At 48.3% G+C, this 17,825-nt stretch overlaps 1 protein-coding gene and 1 pseudogene across 3 annotated transcripts in view, besides 1 other annotated feature; both read right to left on the bottom strand.

The window, feature by feature from the left end:
• Window positions 1-231: 231 nt before the first annotated feature.
• Window positions 232-17,825, bottom strand: part of WBP1L (WW domain binding protein 1 like) — a 72,315-nt gene continuing 54,721 nt past the window's right edge. For all 3 annotated transcript variants that reach the window (NM_001083913.2, NM_017787.5, XM_011539913.3), the window contains exons 3-4: window positions 6,440-6,601; window positions 232-3,899 (exon numbers count right to left, since the gene is read on the bottom strand). In NM_001083913.2, the coding sequence (NP_001077382.1) occupies window positions 3,163-3,899; window positions 6,440-6,601 (899 nt within the window). In that variant the 3' untranslated portion in view covers window positions 232-3,162. The remainder of the gene's footprint in view (window positions 3,900-6,439; window positions 6,602-17,825) is intronic.
• Window positions 541-1,074: an enhancer, noted in NCBI's record as "H3K27ac-H3K4me1 hESC enhancer chr10:104575177-104575710 (GRCh37/hg19 assembly coordinates)". NCBI's record gives its function as "activates a minimal SCP1, AML or CMV promoter by ChIP-STARR-seq in naive H9 embryonic stem cells {active_cell/tissue: H9 hESC(naive)}" and the evidence as "EXISTENCE:reporter gene assay evidence [ECO:0000049][PMID:30033119]".
• On the bottom strand, window positions 12,463-12,565 carry RNU6-1231P (RNA, U6 small nuclear 1231, pseudogene; annotated as a pseudogene).

The following is a 17,825-nucleotide window of genomic DNA, read 5'->3' as shown; positions in this document are numbered from 1 at the left end:
AGAGAGAGGGGAGGACTCCTCAGAACAGAGTGTGGACCCAGCAGCACTGTCCAGCTGCCCTTGGCCCTGTGGTTTCTCTTTGGCCCAGGGCCCTATCCTCAATGACTGTGTGACAACCTCTCAGTCTCTGTGTGGAGAAAAGTGCTTGTGGTTTAGGATCTTGAGGTGCAATTTCCTGAAGACTGAGGAAGAAGAAGAGGGAACAAAGTGCAGCAAGAAAGAGCAGTAGCATTTTTGGGATCAATTTTTATTTGGGCTTCTCACAGTGGTTAGAGCCACTCTGTCTTCAGAACAATCACAGCACAGGAAATGCGTCACTGAGACTGCCCAGAAAAGTCTGACCAGCTGAATCTTATTGCTTAAAATACACATATTCACAATAACTGACAAAGGGTAACGTGCCTCACACAGGAATGTGTTCGCATTTGCAAATCTTCTGACTGGCTGTAGCACCAAACCCTCCACCGACCCCGTCTCATTCACGTGGAAAGCCAGCCTCAGTCACATCTCCCTGGCCCCCTAACGATTCCTTCAGCTCCCTATTAAATCTCTCTCTGAGCAGGGCAGCATCCTGTAGCGGGGGCCAAACTGTGACCTGGGAACCAAGCCCAGCTCCGCAGGTTGCATTTCCGTCTTCTCGTGCCTTTAGGATAGGACGCTGCAGTGAGTCCCACAGTTAACACTTGCCCAGTTCCCCACTCTAACTGGGGAAAGGAACTTGAGAGGCTCAGAACTCATCCATTTGATCTGTTAACTGAAAAAGGATTCATTTTGGTAAAACTTGTTCGCCTTTGAGACACTTCAGTGAGTTATTTGGGATTCTTAAAAAATAAAAAAAGGTGGAAGGAAAGGCATCTGAGGGGCTGTGACACACTCCGGCTACCTCTGGCCACACGCCAGCTTGCTTGTGCCTGTTGGACTCACCAGAGGCAGGCAGGCCCTGCGGCTCCTCTAGAGCCTGCAAAGCCTCCTCCTGGCAATTCTGGGCAGGGCCGATGTCTGGGCCACAGCTAGTCCAAGCCTGTCATTGAAGACCCAGTCAAGCTTCTGTCTGAAATTCCACCTTCTTCTGTCCCAAGTGGTTGTGGACACCCCCGGGCGCTGGTACTGAGGACCAGCAGCAGCCGAGGGAGGCAGACAGGCTCAGAGCACGCTTCCATTTATAGGGAACAGAACGCAGGCCTCCGAGTGTCCACGGAGCAATGTGCAAATCGCAGTGATGAGTAGAGTAAAACCTCTACTTCGAGCACAGTATCTCTGGCAAACACAGGGGACTGCAGTCGACAATGCTGCGGAGTACACCCGAGTACACAGTCAGACATTTGTTCGGTAAACAGTAAATGCGTAAGATCAATGACCTTGAGAGGCCTGTCTGTGCTCCAGACGTGTGGTTCACGTGGAGAGAATGGCTGCCACTCAAAGTATCTTCACAGGAAAACAGGGCTTGAGGCACACACACAACAGACAGACACACACGGCTCACCCAAAAAGTCACTGTGTACGGACTTAACTTTGTTCAACATGGATTTTGGTTTTGTGGAATCTAAATGCAGACACTCGTTTACCTCACACCCTTGGATTTGTCTGTTTTTGGACATATATATATATATTTTGTTTGTTTCTTTCTTTCTTCCATAACATCAATGCTTCGTCTGAATATCATCATCGTTCAAGAGTTGGGGGAAGAAAGACTTCATATGCACAGGGCCGGGTGGGGAATGTTTGTTTTGGCTGTTTGCTGCCTCCATTCAGATTTTCCTATCGCAGCTCAGCTGGTGACCTGAAGGCGAGCAACAGGCACAAGGGTCCCCAGGGCCTTCCGGATGGCTGCTTTCACCTCCTGCCTGGGCCACCGAGTCTCTACACAGAAAAATGAGTCACCCGACTCAAAAGGGGTGGGGGTAGAGGCAGGGACAAGGCATGAAAACCACAGATAACCAAGGTGTTTCTTCCAAGTGGTCAGTTTAAAACAAACAACTGCCACCAAAAAAAAAAAAAAAACCCCACAAAAAATATTTATTCAGAATCAAAGATAAAATACTGTGTGAGAGCCAGGCTACAGGGGCCCTTTCTCTGGGGCCATCGCTTCCTCAGTCCGCTGTCTGTTTCCTCATACGGAACAGTGAGACTTGAAGGCCCGCAGGGTGTGTGCTTGCGATGCAGGCTGACACGGGTCACCTGTGAACACAGACCAAAGGGCAGAGAGGCAGAGAGCTGCACCTCTATCCACTGCTGCGGCTTAGGGCCTCCTGCTCACAGAGGTTCCAAGACAGCCGCCACCCCAGCCTTCACACGAGACATCTTCTGGCTCAACAGCAGGCAGGCTCTTTGAAGGCCAACTTGGGAAAGAGCCACAAACGTCATTTTCCAGAAGAGAATTCTTGCCTGCCCACCGGTGAAGTTCTTGTTTTCAGCTGTCTTTTGCTGTTTGTTTTTAGAGAAAAAAACAAACAAACAAAGAAAAGGCAGTATAACCTTTCACACCAGAACCAGCCTGCGGCCAGCCAGAGCCTGCGGGGAAGAGGCCCCTCAAGGACGCATGGGGTGCATAGATCTTGTCACCTGGAATTTGACAGATCAACAAGCCCCTACCAACCTATCATACAACGGCCCAGTAGCTCTCATCCTCCCACAGGATTAGCTCAATGCTGGCTTGGCAGACACTGGCAGCCCAATGACAAGCCCTGGGCCTCTGTGGGTTTCCTTCTTCATCCAGGGCCAAGATGGGCTGCCTCTCCTGGACTGAGATACAGCAACGTTCTCTTAAACTAGAATCAGAGCACAAACCTATTCCATCACCAAGAATCATGTCAGGGCACAGTCCCAGCCTCCTTCCTTGGGGGCTTTTAAAACACATCTCTCTGACCCAAACAGGTAGGTGAGATTTGACTTTAAAGAAAGGAGATGGAGTTAGGGTATGAGGAATGAGTCACAGAACCAACTTAGCCCTCCACAACACTGTGCCCTTGTGGAGGAAGAGGCATCCACACCCCGAACTGTACCTGGAGATGGAGGAAAATGCAGGAGAGGAGAAGGAAAACAAACAAAAAGGAACCAAGTGGCTGTACTCTGAAAGTCTTTGAAAGTCACTTAATGCTTCTCTCGTGGTTCTCCCCTACCCTGGTTGCTTTGCCAAGTTGCTGGGTGCTGGCAGGACCTGCTCTAGCTGGGGGAGCTGCTGCTCTGGGAGTTGGGAGAGTCCTGCTCGTTGATGGTGTTCAGCAGCAGGCATGCGGGCGGCCGTGGCAGGTGCGGGTGCCCAGGCTCTCGAGCCTGCTCCTCAGAGGACTGACAGAGGCCTTCCTCCTCATCACCAGGGGGCCGCACATGGCAGCTGTCGCAGAAGTCCAGGGGCCCATCCAGAGCATCATCGATGAGTGTGTTGAACTCTTTGAGGTCATCGTCATGGTGGCCCCGGTTGCACACACACACTTCAATGCCCGAGTCACCTGTGAAGCGGCGATGTCTCCCAGGCGTCTTCTCTTTGCTGTCGGGTGCGCCGTGTTCAGAGCTGTCATCTTTCAGCAGCTCCTCCCTACATTCTGCATCTTTGTCCAGGAAGGCCCCCGGGTCCAGCTCCCCCAGGCCAGCCACAGAGCCACTGGGCTCCATCCCTGGGGCTTTGGTGGCTGCTCGGTCAACTGGTAGGTCAGAGGGATCAGGGTCAGCGATGCTTGGGGGTCTTGTGCTGCTTCTGCTGGGCTCAGACAAGGGGCTGCTCTGTGCCCCCTGGGATCCCCTGGTGGGATCGATGCCCGGGGGACTGCCACCTGCAGGGCCACACTGTGGAGGCAGCAGCTGCTGCTGCTGTAGCTGGAAGGCACTGTATGGTGGGGGAGGAGTTGGAGGTCGGTTCACCACTTCCTCATAAGGAGGTAGTAAATAGTTTGGCAAAAACCCTAAAATGGGGAGGTAGGAAGGAGAAATTACTGCACTGGTCATTGTTCTAGGCAGACTGCAAAGCTCCCACTGAATATTTGCATTGTCTCTTCCCACCCCAGAGCACCCAACAAGTGATGGCTACAGCTCTTGGTTGTGAGCAGAGGAGAGACAGCTGCGAGCAATTCTGCAGAGAGAGAGGGGCAGTTTGGGAAGGGCCTAACCTAGCTTCTTGAAATCTGAGAGCCCCTAAAGCTGCTTCGTAGGCAAGGACTTCACGCCTGTTGGGAGTTAAGGCAGAGAATTAGGCAAACGTGGTAGATGGCCAAAAAATAACTTCTGCCTGGAATGGACCCACTTCCACATGCACACAAGTCTCATGTTCTTGCTTAGAGTGTGTCCTTCATCCAAGTCCCACAGGCCTCAGGGCCAGGGTCCCTAACTTCAGACTTCTTAACTACTTTTCTTCCTCCTAACCTTCCAAATGCACTATGTAGGGTCTTTTGCTAGGGGGTTAGAAATCTCTGTTGTCTCTACTGTGGCTGGAGGTGGTCTGGAAACACAAACCAAGCTTCACCTTGACTCAGATCAGGAGCAGATGGGTGACCGGCAAAGGGTAAGGGGCCTCTGCCATCCAAGGCTTATTAAAAACATGCTAGGTGAGTTATCTTTTGAATGTGCTGAATGCCTTATGACACAGATAATTTAATTATAATATAACATTACTAACATTTATTGAGCACTTACTATATGCCAGGCACTGTGCTAAGCACTTAACCCCTCTAGATGTGGAACTGAAATAATGGTGGGTCACAGTGGCTTACGCCTGTAATCTCAGCACTGTGGGAAGCCGAGGCGGGCAGATCACTTGAGCTCAGGAGTTTGAGAACAGCCTGACCAACATGGTAAAACCCCATCTCTACTAAAAATACAAACATTAGCTAGGTGTGATGGCATGGTCTTGTAGTCCCAGCTACTTGGGAAGCTCAGGCACAAGAATCACTTGAACCCCAGAGGAGGAGGTTGCAGTGAGCCAAGATCACGCCACTGCAGTCAAGCCTGGGTGACAGAGCGAGATTCTGTCTTAAAAAGAAAAAAAGAAACAATTGTAAAGAAACAATTGTGAAAGTTTATTTTGTAGAATACACTGTAGACTGGCTTTGGAAAACTGGCACAGCTGGGCCTCCACTGACCATATGAGAGGTCACATGTAAGGAGCCCCAGGGAAGTCCGGGAAGTGCTCTTCAGAGAGTCACTAAGTTTCTTGGTGCTCAGAAGTCCCAATGCCACCCCCCAACCCGCCCCTTTCATGGCAGCCTCTGCTCAGGCATATCACACAGAAATAAGCAAAATGGGAGGAATTCAGGCCAATGAACCCCAAGTCTCAATTCACTCACGTTATAACTGACTCCTGACCTCAAATGATCTGCCCGCCTCGGCCTCCCAAAGTGCTGAGCCACCGAGCCCGGTGTGAGCCACTGAGCCCGGCCCACAATTGTTTCAATTCCACATCTAGAAGGACTAGGTGCTTAGCACAGTACCTGGCATATAGTAAGTGCTCAATAAATGTTAATAATTATTGTTCTATTATCTGACTATCTGCCATTAAAGAGAGAGAGAGAGATGGATGAATGAAGGGAGGGAGGGAAGAAGGAAGGGAAAGAAAGGAAGGGTAAGAAAGAGAAAGGAAAAGAAAGAGGAAGGGGAGGGGAGGGGAGGGAAAGGAAAAGAGGGGAGGGAAGGGGAGGGCAGGGGCACGGTGGCTCACGCCTGTAATCCCAGCACTTTGGGAGGCCGAGACGAGCAGATCACTTGAGGTCAGGAGTTCGAGGCCAGCCTGACCAACATGGAGAAACCCTGTCTCTACTAAAAACACAAAAATTAGCTGGGTGTGGTGGTGCATGCCTGTAATCCCAGCTACTTTGGAGGCTGAGGCGGGAGAATCGCTTGAACCTGGAAAGCAGAGGTTGCAGTGAGCCAAGATTGCGCCACTGCACTCCAGCCTGGGCAACAAGAGAGAAACTCCATCTCAAAAAAAAAAAAAAAAAAAGAAATAGAGAGAGAGAGAGGGAGGGAGGATGGATGGAAGGAAGGAAGGAAGGAAGGAAGGAAGGAAGGAAGGAGGGAAGGAAGGAAGGAGGGAAGGAAGGAAGGAAAAGAAGGGAGGGAGGGAGGGATGGAAAGGCAGGCAGGCAGGGAAAGAAAGAAAGAAAGAAAGAGAGAAAGAGGGAGGGAGGAAGGAAGGGAGGGAGGAAGGGAGGAAGTTAGGTAGGTAGGTATGTACGCAGGTGCTAAAGAAGCAGAGATCCAGCCAGAACCCAGCCACTGTGAGCTTTGGAATGGCCCAGTGGCTTCAGGGAACTGCACCCCTAGCACATGCTCCTCTGTGCTGAAGGAGTGTCCCCTTGTTCCTGTACTTTCAAGACCTTGCTCTACGGAGGGGCAGGGAGAGGACAAACCCCCTATGCCTACAGGAGCCTGGCCACCAATATTCAGTGTGAGCCCTGGGTCTGTGCACCTGAGCTCCTGAGGGTGGGTATGGGGGCTTGGGTGTACGTACTGAAATAAAATGGCAGCGCTGAGTAATTGTGGGCTTCTCGGTAAGCGATCAGGTTGATTTCATGTTGCCGCTGCTGGGCCTGAAGGCGGTGCTTGGCTCGGCGGTGGTGGCAAACACAGCAGCAGCTCAGGATGATGATGATGGTCCACACCAGCCAGAACCCTGGGGGGTGGGCAAGGCAAGACAGAGAGGCACACAGTGAGTACCAGCCAGAGGGGCAGCTTGCGGAACAGGGAGGTCCCTGGACGGTGCCCACGTGGTTGAAGCTGGCATGGCTGGGCCTCACCCAGTTAATTTACATTGAAGCCATGTGATCAATTTCCATAAATGCTTGTGCCAGAGTGAAAGACACATGGGATAGAAGTGGGCAGGAATGTAAGAATGATGACAACAGGCCGGGCGTGGTGGCTCATGCCTGTAATCCCAGGCCAAGATGGGTGGATCACTTGAGGTCAGGAGTTCGAGACCAGCCTGGCCAACATGGTGAAACCCCCATCTCTACTAAAAATACAAAAATCAGCCAGGTATGGTGGCAGGCGCCTGTAATCCCAGCTACTCAGGAGGCTGAGGCACGAGAATCACTTAAAACCAGGAGATAGAGGTTGTAGTGAGCCAAGATTGCGCCACTGCACTCCAGCCTGGGCGACAGAGCAAGACTCTGTCTCAAAAAAAAGAATGGCTGGGTGCAGTGGCTCATGCCTGTAATCCCAGCATTTTGGGAGGCCGAGGCGTGCAGATCACCTGAGGTCAGGAGTTCAAGACCAGCCTGGCCAACATGGTGAAACCCTGTCTCTACTAAAAATACAAAAATTAGCCAGGCGTGATGGCATGCACCTATAATCCCAGCTACTCAGGAGGCTGAGGCAGGAGAATTGCTTGAACCCAGGAGGCGGAGGCTGCAGTGAGCCGAGATTGCACCATTGCACTCCAGCCTGGGTGAGCAAGACACCGTCACAAAACAAAACAAAACAAAACAGAATGATGACAGCAAAGCAGGTCTCTCACTCCAGGACGCCTCCAGCACCTTGGGGGAAGGCACAAGTGCCAAGGCATCTCTCCAGCACCACTGATGGGTCCCCCCGTATTATAGGTTTTGTGAGCATTAAATATGCAGACCTTCTGGGATGGTCTCCTCCTCCTCTCTTAAGAGATTTCTGAGAAAATGCTTCACTTTCTTAGTGCCCATCTCCCCTCCCCCGCAACTCAGAAGATCAGCACTTGCAAGGGGCCTCAGAGGGGCCCCCTGACAAAAGAAGTCTTATGATTCTCCTGATAGCATCAAAAAAATCAGGTGCTTTTCTCTATCATGTATGCCTCTGTAATACAAGAATCACTAAAGTTAGAGGTGGAAAAATTCTAATTGCCTCAGGTCCATCTCCTCCCTAGAGAGTGTAAATGATTTCCTCTGCTCTCGACATAATCCTAATCGGGTACAATTCCATCTCCCACTGCCACAATCAACTCTCCCTCCCTTTGGCCTGCCCTTGCAGTAGATGCAGGGCCATTAGCAGCCGCTTCTTCCTCCCTGCTCCAGGGAAGGGTGGCGGAACAGAGGCCAAGCCCCACAGCTCTTTACTTCCCTCTGTGCTGTCTCTGGGATCATACTCAGAGAATCTCAGCAAACCCCAATATAAGACCTCCTCTCCAATTTTTAAATGTGTGGCACAAAAGGCTTTTAAATTTTTTTTTTAATTAATGAGGAATTTTGCTTTTCACATAACACACATACACATATACGCACGAGGGGGAAAGAACTGAAAGGAAAACAAAAATAATGACATCTTTAAATGACAGAATAAGAAATTTAAATTTTCTTCTTTTGATTATTTTCTTTCAAAATATAAAACTAGAAACAAATTAATTTTCTTTTTTTCTGAGACAGGGTCTTGCTCTGTCACCCAGGATGGAGTACAGTGGTGCGATCACAGCTCAACCGAAGCCTCAACCTTCTGGGCGCAAGCTGTCCTCCCACCTCCACCTTCTGAGTAGCTGGGACTACAAGCATATGCCACCATGCCTGGCTTTCTCCCTGTGTTGCCCAGGCTGGTCTTGAACCCTGGGCTCAAGAGATCCTCACGTCTCAGCCTCCCAAAGTGCTAGGATTACAGGTGTGAGCCACCGCGCCCGGCCAAAACAAATTAAATTTTAAAAATATCTATGACTAATTTTACTTTGGCTAGCTTTTTTTTTTTAATCAATAATTTCTGGGTAGGTTTTTAAATTCCTCTAGGAATATGGCTATACAATGAAATAATATGAATCATTAAAAAATTACTCACATAATATTATTTTTGACATACAAAGAGTTTCTGATATTAAATGAAAAAAAGCAGATGACAAAATAAAATATGATCCTAACTTTTGCTTAAAAAAAGTACGTATGGCTGGGCGCAGGGGCTCACACCCTGTAATCCCAGCACTTTGGGAGGCCAAGGTGGGCGGATCACGACATCAAGAGATCGAGACCATCCTGGCCAACATGGTGAAACCCCATCTCTACTAAAAATAAATACAAAAATTAGCTGGGCATGGTGGCACACACCTATAGTCCCAGCTACTTGGGAGGCTGAGAATCGCTTGAACCCAGGAGGGGAGGTTGCAGTGAGCTGAGATCACGCCACTGCACTCCAGCCTGGCAACCGAGTGAGATTCAGTCTTAAAAAAAAAAGTATATATGGACAGAAAAAGGAGGGGTATGGTCAGGAAGCTCTAACCATGGGGTAACTCTGGATGACAGACAGTACCTGCTCCTTTGTTCTATTTCCTAATTTTTCTAAGATGGACATGTGCTTCTCTGTAGTAAAAAGAATATTTTTTTCTCAACTAAAAATGTATCAAAGGAATAATTTTAAGATGAGTTGTTACTAAATGAGAATAGATAATATTGTTTGTTCTCTATTCTTGAAAAACTTCCATTGTTTTCCATTCCAAATGCTATGTGTATTTTTTATCATCTGCTTTGTAATTATAAATTTGTGTTTAAAATTTTAAAAGTAGTTCCACATGTATCTCTTGTCAGAATGAGTTAAATCAAGTTAACCTTGTTTAAAAAAAGAAAAAAATGCCTCCCTCCCCCACAAAACAGACTTGTAAAAATGAATAAATCCTTGATGTTTTTCCCCCTTATTTGTATATACACAATTTTCCAAAAGATCCCTTGGCATTTAGGGTGTGGCATCTGGCGACAGCTCTTTCTCTGTCCCCCTGGAATGCCCCCATTGAATCTCCTCACAAAGCTGCCCTCCACCAAGTGGGGCAGGACAGTGACATGCCCCCCAGCCCCGGCAGGCTGGCAGTACCATTCCACGGCACTTAATTGCTTTCAGTGGGTATCGCTGTTCAACCAAAGCTTCATGCTGCAGCCTTGCAGCAAGAGAACAGACAGAGGATTTTTTTCCCTGTTACCCATCAGCAGACAGGAAAATCCATTCCTAACCAGAGACCATAAAGTGAACTTAGCAGTCTCCTTTTTGGTCTTTCCCGGTTCACTAGTCAAACTTGCTTAACTTATGTTTCTTTCTTTATGAATTCTGGCTGACTTAAGAGTAGACACTGGCAGAGGAACCCTTGCAGAAGGGTGGAGAGGCTGGAAAGGAGTTATGGAGGTGAAACTGGCTACAGATGCAGTTTGATAACATCTCCTAGGGTTGTTGGGGTGGACACTCTGCTTAAGAACCTGGCTGCATGTGTATTTCGGAGTCAAGTCTAAATTATTCTGGGCTGACAACCATTTTGTATTACCTATACTTCTCTTACTTTCTCAGTGTAATCTCACAGTCCATTATACTTCTGTGTTACTTTATAACTTTTTTTTTTTTTACTTTATTGTTATTTATTTATTTTTTGAGACAGGGTCTCATTCTGTCGCTTAGGCTGGAGTGGCAAGGGAACTCAGCTCACTGCAACCTCCGCCTCCCAGGCTCACGTGATTCTTGTGCCTCAGCCTCCTCAGCAGCTGCAACTACAGGTGCGTGCCACTACACCCATCTAATTGGTTTTTTTTTTTTTGTATTTTTAGTAGAGACAGGGTTTCACCATGTTGGCCAGGCTGGTCTCAAAATCCTGAGCTCAAGTGATCCGCCCGCCTCAGCCTCCCAAAGTGCTGGGATTACAGGTGTGAGCCACCGTGCCAGGCCAATTTTTTTTAACTTATTTTTAAGAGACAAGGTCTCACTGTCACCCAGGGTAGAGTGCAGTGGTGTGAACGCAGCTCACTGCAGCCTTGATCTCCTGGGCTCAGGTGATCCTCCCGCTCTGGCCTCCTGAGTAGCTGGGACTACGGGCATGCACCACCACACCCCACTAATTTTGTTGTTGTTGTTGTTGAGATGAGGTCTCACAAGGTTGCCCAGGCTGGTCTCAAACAAACTCTGGTCTCAAGCAATCCCCCTGCCTCAGCCTCCCAAAGTGCTGGGATTACAGGTGTGAAATACCAGAGATGGCCAAACTTTAAAATTTTAAAAGTACATTCTCCCGTTAGGTAATCAGCATCTGCTTGGCGCAGTGGCTCACAACTAAAATCCTAGCTACTTGGGAGGCTGAGATGAGAGGATTGCTTCTTGTGAGGTCAGCCTGGGTAACACAGCGAGATCCCATCTCTAAAAAAAAAAAAGATAGCCAGCATCTAACTCTACTAGTTTTTTACCTGGCCACCAGTCATTTTTTCAATAGTTCTCTACCTAAAGGTAAACCAACTTCTAACTTTTATACTGCAATATATATGATCTATTTCACAGCTTTTACAATTTTTTAAAAAATTTAATTAAAATAAATTTTTGAGACAGGTATTACTCTGTCACCCAGGCTGGAGTACAGTAGAGACCAGAACTCACTACAGCCTCCAACTCCTGGGCTCAAGGAGCCCACTTTAGCCTCTCTAGTAGCTAGGACTACAGGTGCACACCACACCTGGCTAATTTTTAAATTTTTTGTAGATATAGGGGGGTGGTCTCACTTTGTTGCCCAGGCTGCTCTCAAACTCCTGGCTTCAAGTAATCCTCCCACCTTGGCTCCCAAAGTGCTAGGATTACAGGTATGAGCCACCACACCTGGCCAACATGGTTGTTTTTGTTTTGTTTTGTTTTGTTTTGTTTTCCCCGTTTTAAAGAAAATCTCATGCATTGGTTTTCATGTTTGCCAAGTATTTCTGCTTCTTCTCCTTCTAGGCATGTGGGTAGGCTTGAACTTCCTGACCCCCTTGTGACTGGGTGAGGCTTTGGGACTAAGTCTAACTAATGAATTGAGATTGGATGTGATATATGTCACTTAGAGGCCAAAATGTGTCTTGCTAATATGAGACCCTCCATTAGTCTTCCTTCTGTTTTGGCAACTGGCAACATCCCAGATGGTGATTTCACATCAGTCTGGGTCCCAGAGGATGGTGAAGTGGAAACAAAACTCTCATCCAACCTTCGATGGACACACAGTGTGAGTGAGGAATAAACCTGCTGTTTTTAGGTCACTAGGATTTTGGACTTGCTTGTTCCTGTGGCACAACTTAGCCTATCCTGACTACTGCAGTGTGATTACAAGTTTTTCTTGGGGAGAGAATTTAAAGTGTTCATCAGATTTTTAAAGGAATCCTTGATCCAGAAAAAGGCTAGATTCACTGAACCAGAAGTATAATTTTTTTTTTAAAAAAAAAAGGGCTTTTTTTTTTTTTTTTTTGAGACAGGGTCTTGCTCTGTCACCCAGGCTGGAGTGGAGTGGTGTGATCTCGGCTCACTGCAACCTCCGCCTCTCGGGTTCAAACGAATCTCCTGCCTCAGCCTCCCAAGTAGCTGGAACTACAGGCATGCACCACCACACCCAGCTAATTTTGTATTTTTAGTGGAGATGGCATTTCACCATGTTGGCCAGGCTGGTCTCGAACTCCTGACCTCAAGTGATCCACCCACCTCAGCCTCCCAAAGTGCTGGGATTACAGGTGTGAGTCACCACACCTGGCCAACTTAGGAAAAATTTTAATCTTTTAGCTAGATTTCAAAACCAAGGAAGAAAGTTCATTTTTACATTTTTTACTTTTTTTTATGGAGTGCTTCACAAATTTGCCTGCTATCCTTGGCCGGGGCCACACTAATCTCAGTATCATTCCAATTTTAGTATAGGTGCTGCTGAAGTAAGCACAAAGAAGAAAACTTTAAAAAAAAGGAAAACCTGGCTGGGCGCGGTGGCTCAAGGCTAGAATCCCAGCACTTTGGGAGGACAAGGCGGGCGAATCACGAGGAGACCATCCTAGCTAACACAGTGAAACCTCGTCTCCACTAAAAATACAAAAAATTAGCTGGGCGTAGTGGCAGGCACCTATAGTCCCAGCCACTCGGGAGGCTGAGGCAGGAGAATGGCGTGAACCTGGGAGGCGGAGCTTGCAGTGAGCCAAGATAGCGCCACTGCACTCCAGCCTGGGCAACAGACAGAGCAAGACCCTGCCTCCAAAAAAAAAAAAAAGGAAAACCCAACAAAAGACACACCAGAGACAGAAATATGACCCTCCTTTCCCCAACAAACACACACCTACCAAGAGACTACATTCCTCAAAGACAAGTTTTGAAAATTGTGAGTTCACTGTGGGGTGCATTTGTCATGCTAAGCAAAATGGAAAACATGTTTTTAAAAACAATCACAGTCCAGTGTAGGAACTGAGTCATGTGCCCCATGACTACACTACAAACCCCAAGAGTTCACTACAAACTTGGGAAAACACCACTCTTCAACTGGCAGGAAATTCCCCATTAGGAGGCTCAAGCATACTGTAAGTGAGCTCTCCTCCCATCCTGCAGGACGGTGGGTGACTGGCTCCCCTGGCCCTTCCTTGCTCTCAGCAAGAGCTCCTGCCACTGCCACAGTGGAAAAGGCCTGAATTTGGGAAATGAAGACGTCAGAGACTCGCAACTTCTTCTGAAAGCCCAGCCAACTTTCCTACAAGCATGACTGCAGACGTGGAAGAGAAAAGGCAGATGGCCTGGGTTCAAAGCCCAGCTTAAAAACACATATTCTAGCTTTGTGACCTTGGTCATTTTGGTTTTACTTCCCTCATCTGTAAAACGGGGAGAATAAAGGTCTCTAACTTATCTGGTCACTGTGAGGACTAAATGAGTTAATATATGTAGTATACGCAGAACTATGCCTGATGTATGGTAAGTTCTTAGTGTGTTTATTGTTGTTGTTACAGGCTTAACCATAGATGGGCAGGGTTTCCTTTAAAATTTCCTTTCAATTTCCCTTTTAACCCCCAAAAAGTATTCCATAAAGAAACACAGGGCCCAGTGTGGTGGCTCATGCCTGTAATCCCAGCACTTTGGGAGGCTGAGGCAGGTGGATCACTTGAGGTCAGAATTTGGAGACCAGCCTGGCCAACATGGTGAAACCCCATCTCTACTAAAAATACAAAAATTAGCTGGGCATGCTGGCGCACACCTGTAATTCCAGCTATTTGGGAGGCTGAGGTGGGAGAATCGCTTGGACCTGGGAAGCGAGATCATGCCACTGCACTTCAGCCTGGGCGAGGGAGTGAGACGCTGTCTCAAGAAAGAAAAGGAAAAAAGAAACACAGGTTAGGAACAAGTCCAAAGTCTGCTTTTAGGTTCTGTTCTTGGCACTGGAAATTCAATCAACTCCTATTTACTGAGCTCTTGCTAACAATGGGTATCTTAAGACAAACTAAAAACAAAACAAAAAAAAACGGCAGGTAAAAAACGAAGCTTGGGCAACATGGCGAAACCTTATCTCTACAAAAAAATACAAAAATTAGATGGGCATGGTGGCACATACTCATAGTCCCAGCTACTTAAGTGGCTGAGGCAGGAGGATCCCTTGAGTCCAGGAGGTTAAGGCTGCAGTGACCAAAGATCATACCACTACACTCCAGCCTGGGTGATAGAGTGAAACCTTGTCTCACACACACAAAAAGAGGAAGGAAGGAAGGAAGGAAGGAAGGAAGGAGAAGGTGGAAGGAGGAGGGGGAAGGGGGAAAGGGAAAGGCTGGGGGAAGGGTAGGGGAGGGTGGAGGAAGGGGAGGGGAGGGTGGGGGGAAGGGTGGGAAGGTGGGGGAGGGGTGGCAGGGTGGGGGAAGGGTGGGGGTGGGGGGAAGGGTAGGGAAGGGTGGGAGGGAGGGGGGAGGAAAAGTGGGGAGGGAGGGGAGAGGAAGAGTGGAGAGGGAGGGGAGAGAGGAGGAGGGAGATGGGAGGGAGGGAAAGGAAAGAGAGAGAGAAAGAAAAAAAGAGAGAGAATAAAAAATGAAAAACGAGTTGGGCAGCACTGACAGGATTTGCTAATAGCCTGTTTTGTGTCACTTCAGGGAAATTCCACTGTCCAGAAACATACCCCTCTCCCTCCTAAAGCCCAAACCAGGGGAAACTGATGCCTGGGTGAAATTCTCCCAAATGATCTCAAGGGCAGAAATTCCCAACTTTGATCTCTCCCTGGAAAATGTAGCTTGCTGAGTGGAGAGAGCCCCAGGATGAGAACAGGGAGGAGTGGCTTTGGGGTTTGGGCCAATGCACATCCTATCCCCTCCCCGCTGGATTACCTTCTGAAGGTAAGAATTCTGTCTCTCCAGTTTCCAGCCCAGAGGAGGTCACAGCATCAACTAGGAACTTGTTACAATTGCACATTCTCAGGTTTTTAAATTCTCAGTTTTGAATCAAAAGCTCTGGGAGTAGGGCCCAGAAGTGTGTGTTTTCGGTAGCCCTTCAGGAAATTCTGATGCCTGCTAAAGTTCAAGAGCACTGGAATAAGGGTTTGCTGAATGAATAACTGATGGAATGATGAATTAAAGTACAGGTGCCGTAAAAATGCATGGAGATAATACTAACAACGATCAGGTCCTTAATAGCCTCAACTACTGCCCCTATTAAACAGGATCTGCCGTTCTCAACACATGCAGGCCCAATAACTGGTTTGGGTTATGAAACATTGAAAAGACATGTGGGAAAGGTTGCCGGCCAGAGCTCAGGTCTATGTGTGCTTGTGTGTCTGTGTAAACCGTGTGTGTGTGTAAGTATGTGTGTGAGAATTGAGAATTTTCCTCAGCACACAGGAAAATGCAGTTTAGTAGAGGTAAAGGGTGGGTAGAAATGGCATTTTTTCCCGGAGGCCTTTCCTGTAGGCAACTATAGTTAAGGAGTTGCCCTGTCTGATGAAAACTCTGCCAAAGGATTTCCTGGCTGAGGAATTTTCTTTCCAAAGGAAGGTGGGAAGGAAATCAGCCCAAAGCCCGTGACTTTCACACTTCAGGCAAAGTTGAGAGGCAGTTAGAGGGAACAGGGTTGAAAGCAACAAAAAGTGCCATTTTGATGAGAACTTCAGGTGTTTGTTCCAACATCAACCTCCCTCCCATACACACCAGGCAGAAGCCATGACCTCAATAAAGAGGGAGATCGGAGGACTTCCTGAGAAGGGCGTTTTGCTTTTATGTCTCCCATGCCTCCAGAACGTGGAAAACACATGCCAGCTCATTTAACGGGGCACCTTTTCTCTCCGTCTAGACACTGCTCTCTGCTGGGCCTCCTTTCCTAAACGCCCGTAGCTAGAGAGACACTTAGCCGTTCATGCAGCTCTTTCTCTGACTTTCTTTAAGCCCTTGGGGTGAGGCACCTGCTTTCCCAGACTACCTCCTTGCCCTCTGGGTCTCCCTGTCCCCACCACTCCACCCCCCTGCCCTGGCTTTGGTGACCCAATTCAGGTGGCTCCTGAGTCGGCTCTGCCAAAAGCCCAGGAGGCTCTGTCAATCTGAGACGGGGCCATGAGCAACTTCGTTCCTTTTCACAACTGATGCCGCCTGGCCAGGACCCAGAAAAACAAACTACAGCTCTGTGGCTTTTTGGCAGCCCAGCTTCAACTTTTGTTTTAACAAAGGGTGGGAAGGAGAATTTGAACCCTGTGGTTATCTGCATTTTAAAACATTTAAACAGAGTCTGTCTACCTGCTTGGCACTGTGTGTCCTCTAGTAAGTTTCTCAGCCCCACCCCTTCTAAAATAGCAACAATGACTGTGCCCTCCTTCACTGCTGCTTATATATCTGCAGGTCTGGTGGGGACATCTTGAGCCTTGTGCTCTCCTGCACTGGACTGCTCCTGGAATTCCTCAGAAAGGCAGATGAGCCCGTCCTCAGTCCTCAAAAGGGAAAAGCGAGGGTGAGGGAGAGGTCTTGTTTGGAGGAACCACTCCTGTTGGCTACAAATACAACTGCATTTCAGATGGACAGACCTCCCAGCCAAGAGTCTAATTTCCTTTCTGGACCAAACAATAGTCCTTCTGGCTGCTTTCTTGCCATATCACTGACACAGGGGTTGATGGGGGGGATGAGAAAGGGGAAAGGCGCAGATAGGATGGTGGGGGCAAGGTCATGGTTTGACAAACCCGAAGTCTGTTTCCAAATGGAGGCAGTGATGAGGGCTTAGAATCATCTGGGGAAACCGCCTGCAGTCTCCTTTCTCAAGAGACAATTGTAAGAACTACGGCAATGTCAGTCACCTGGGGCCTCGCTGTCCTAAGCACCACCCCCCCAACACCCTCTCATTCTTTGTCCAGCATCCTACACTGTCTCGTCTGAGTTCCAGGAAGGTCAGAGTACAAAGAGTGTCAGTTGAAGCAACCTTGGGTCACTCCCTGAAGACCCTAACACCATCACCACTGTCGTGCAACTTGAAGAAGCAAGTGGTTCTGGCTTCAGTCAAACCAGTGGCAAGACAAAGATGGTTTCCACATGGCATTTTTCTTTTTTTTTTTTTAGATGGAGCCTCGCTCTGTTGCCCAGGCTGGAGTGCAGTGGCGCAACCTCGGCTCACTGCAACCTCCGCCTCCCGGGTTCAAGTGATTCTCCTGCCTCAGCCTCCTGAGTAGCTGGGACTGCAGGCACACACCACCATGCCCAGATAATTTTTGTATTTTTAGTAGAGAGGGGGTTTCACCATGTTAGCCAGGCTGGTATTGAACTCTTGGGCTCAAGTGATCCACATGCCTTGGCCTCCCAGGGTGCTGGGATTATAAGCGTGAGCTACTGTGCCCAGCCTCCACATGGGATTTAGCTGACAGTAAAAGGTTAGGTACACTGGAGAATCCTCCAGGAACTTCCATGTGAGAACTGGGTAAGAAATAAAAGGAGCTGAGCCTCAAGACTCCCTTTCTCCAGAAGGTCCTCTATAGGCAAGGACCTAGGGAAAGACTGTTCCTTTCCGAAGGACCCTCAGAAACAGAGGCACTCCATGAGGTTCTATGGGAAATTCTGGAAGCCCCTGTGGTCCTTACAAGAAAATGGCATAGTGACCATCTAGAGTGGCCTGGCATTCATAGTAGCTTGGCTTGCAACCTCTCTCTGCAAAAACAGCAAGCCAGCCAGGTGTGGTGGCTCACGCCTCTAATCCCAGCACTTTGGGAAGCCAAGGCG

This window comes from Homo sapiens, chromosome 10 (assembly GCF_000001405.40).
Source record: "Homo sapiens chromosome 10, GRCh38.p14 Primary Assembly".
Classification (NCBI taxonomy): domain Eukaryota; kingdom Metazoa; phylum Chordata; class Mammalia; order Primates; family Hominidae; genus Homo; species Homo sapiens.
The sequence above is the reverse complement of the archived record's forward strand: the minus strand, read 5'-3'. Positions and strand labels throughout refer to the sequence as shown.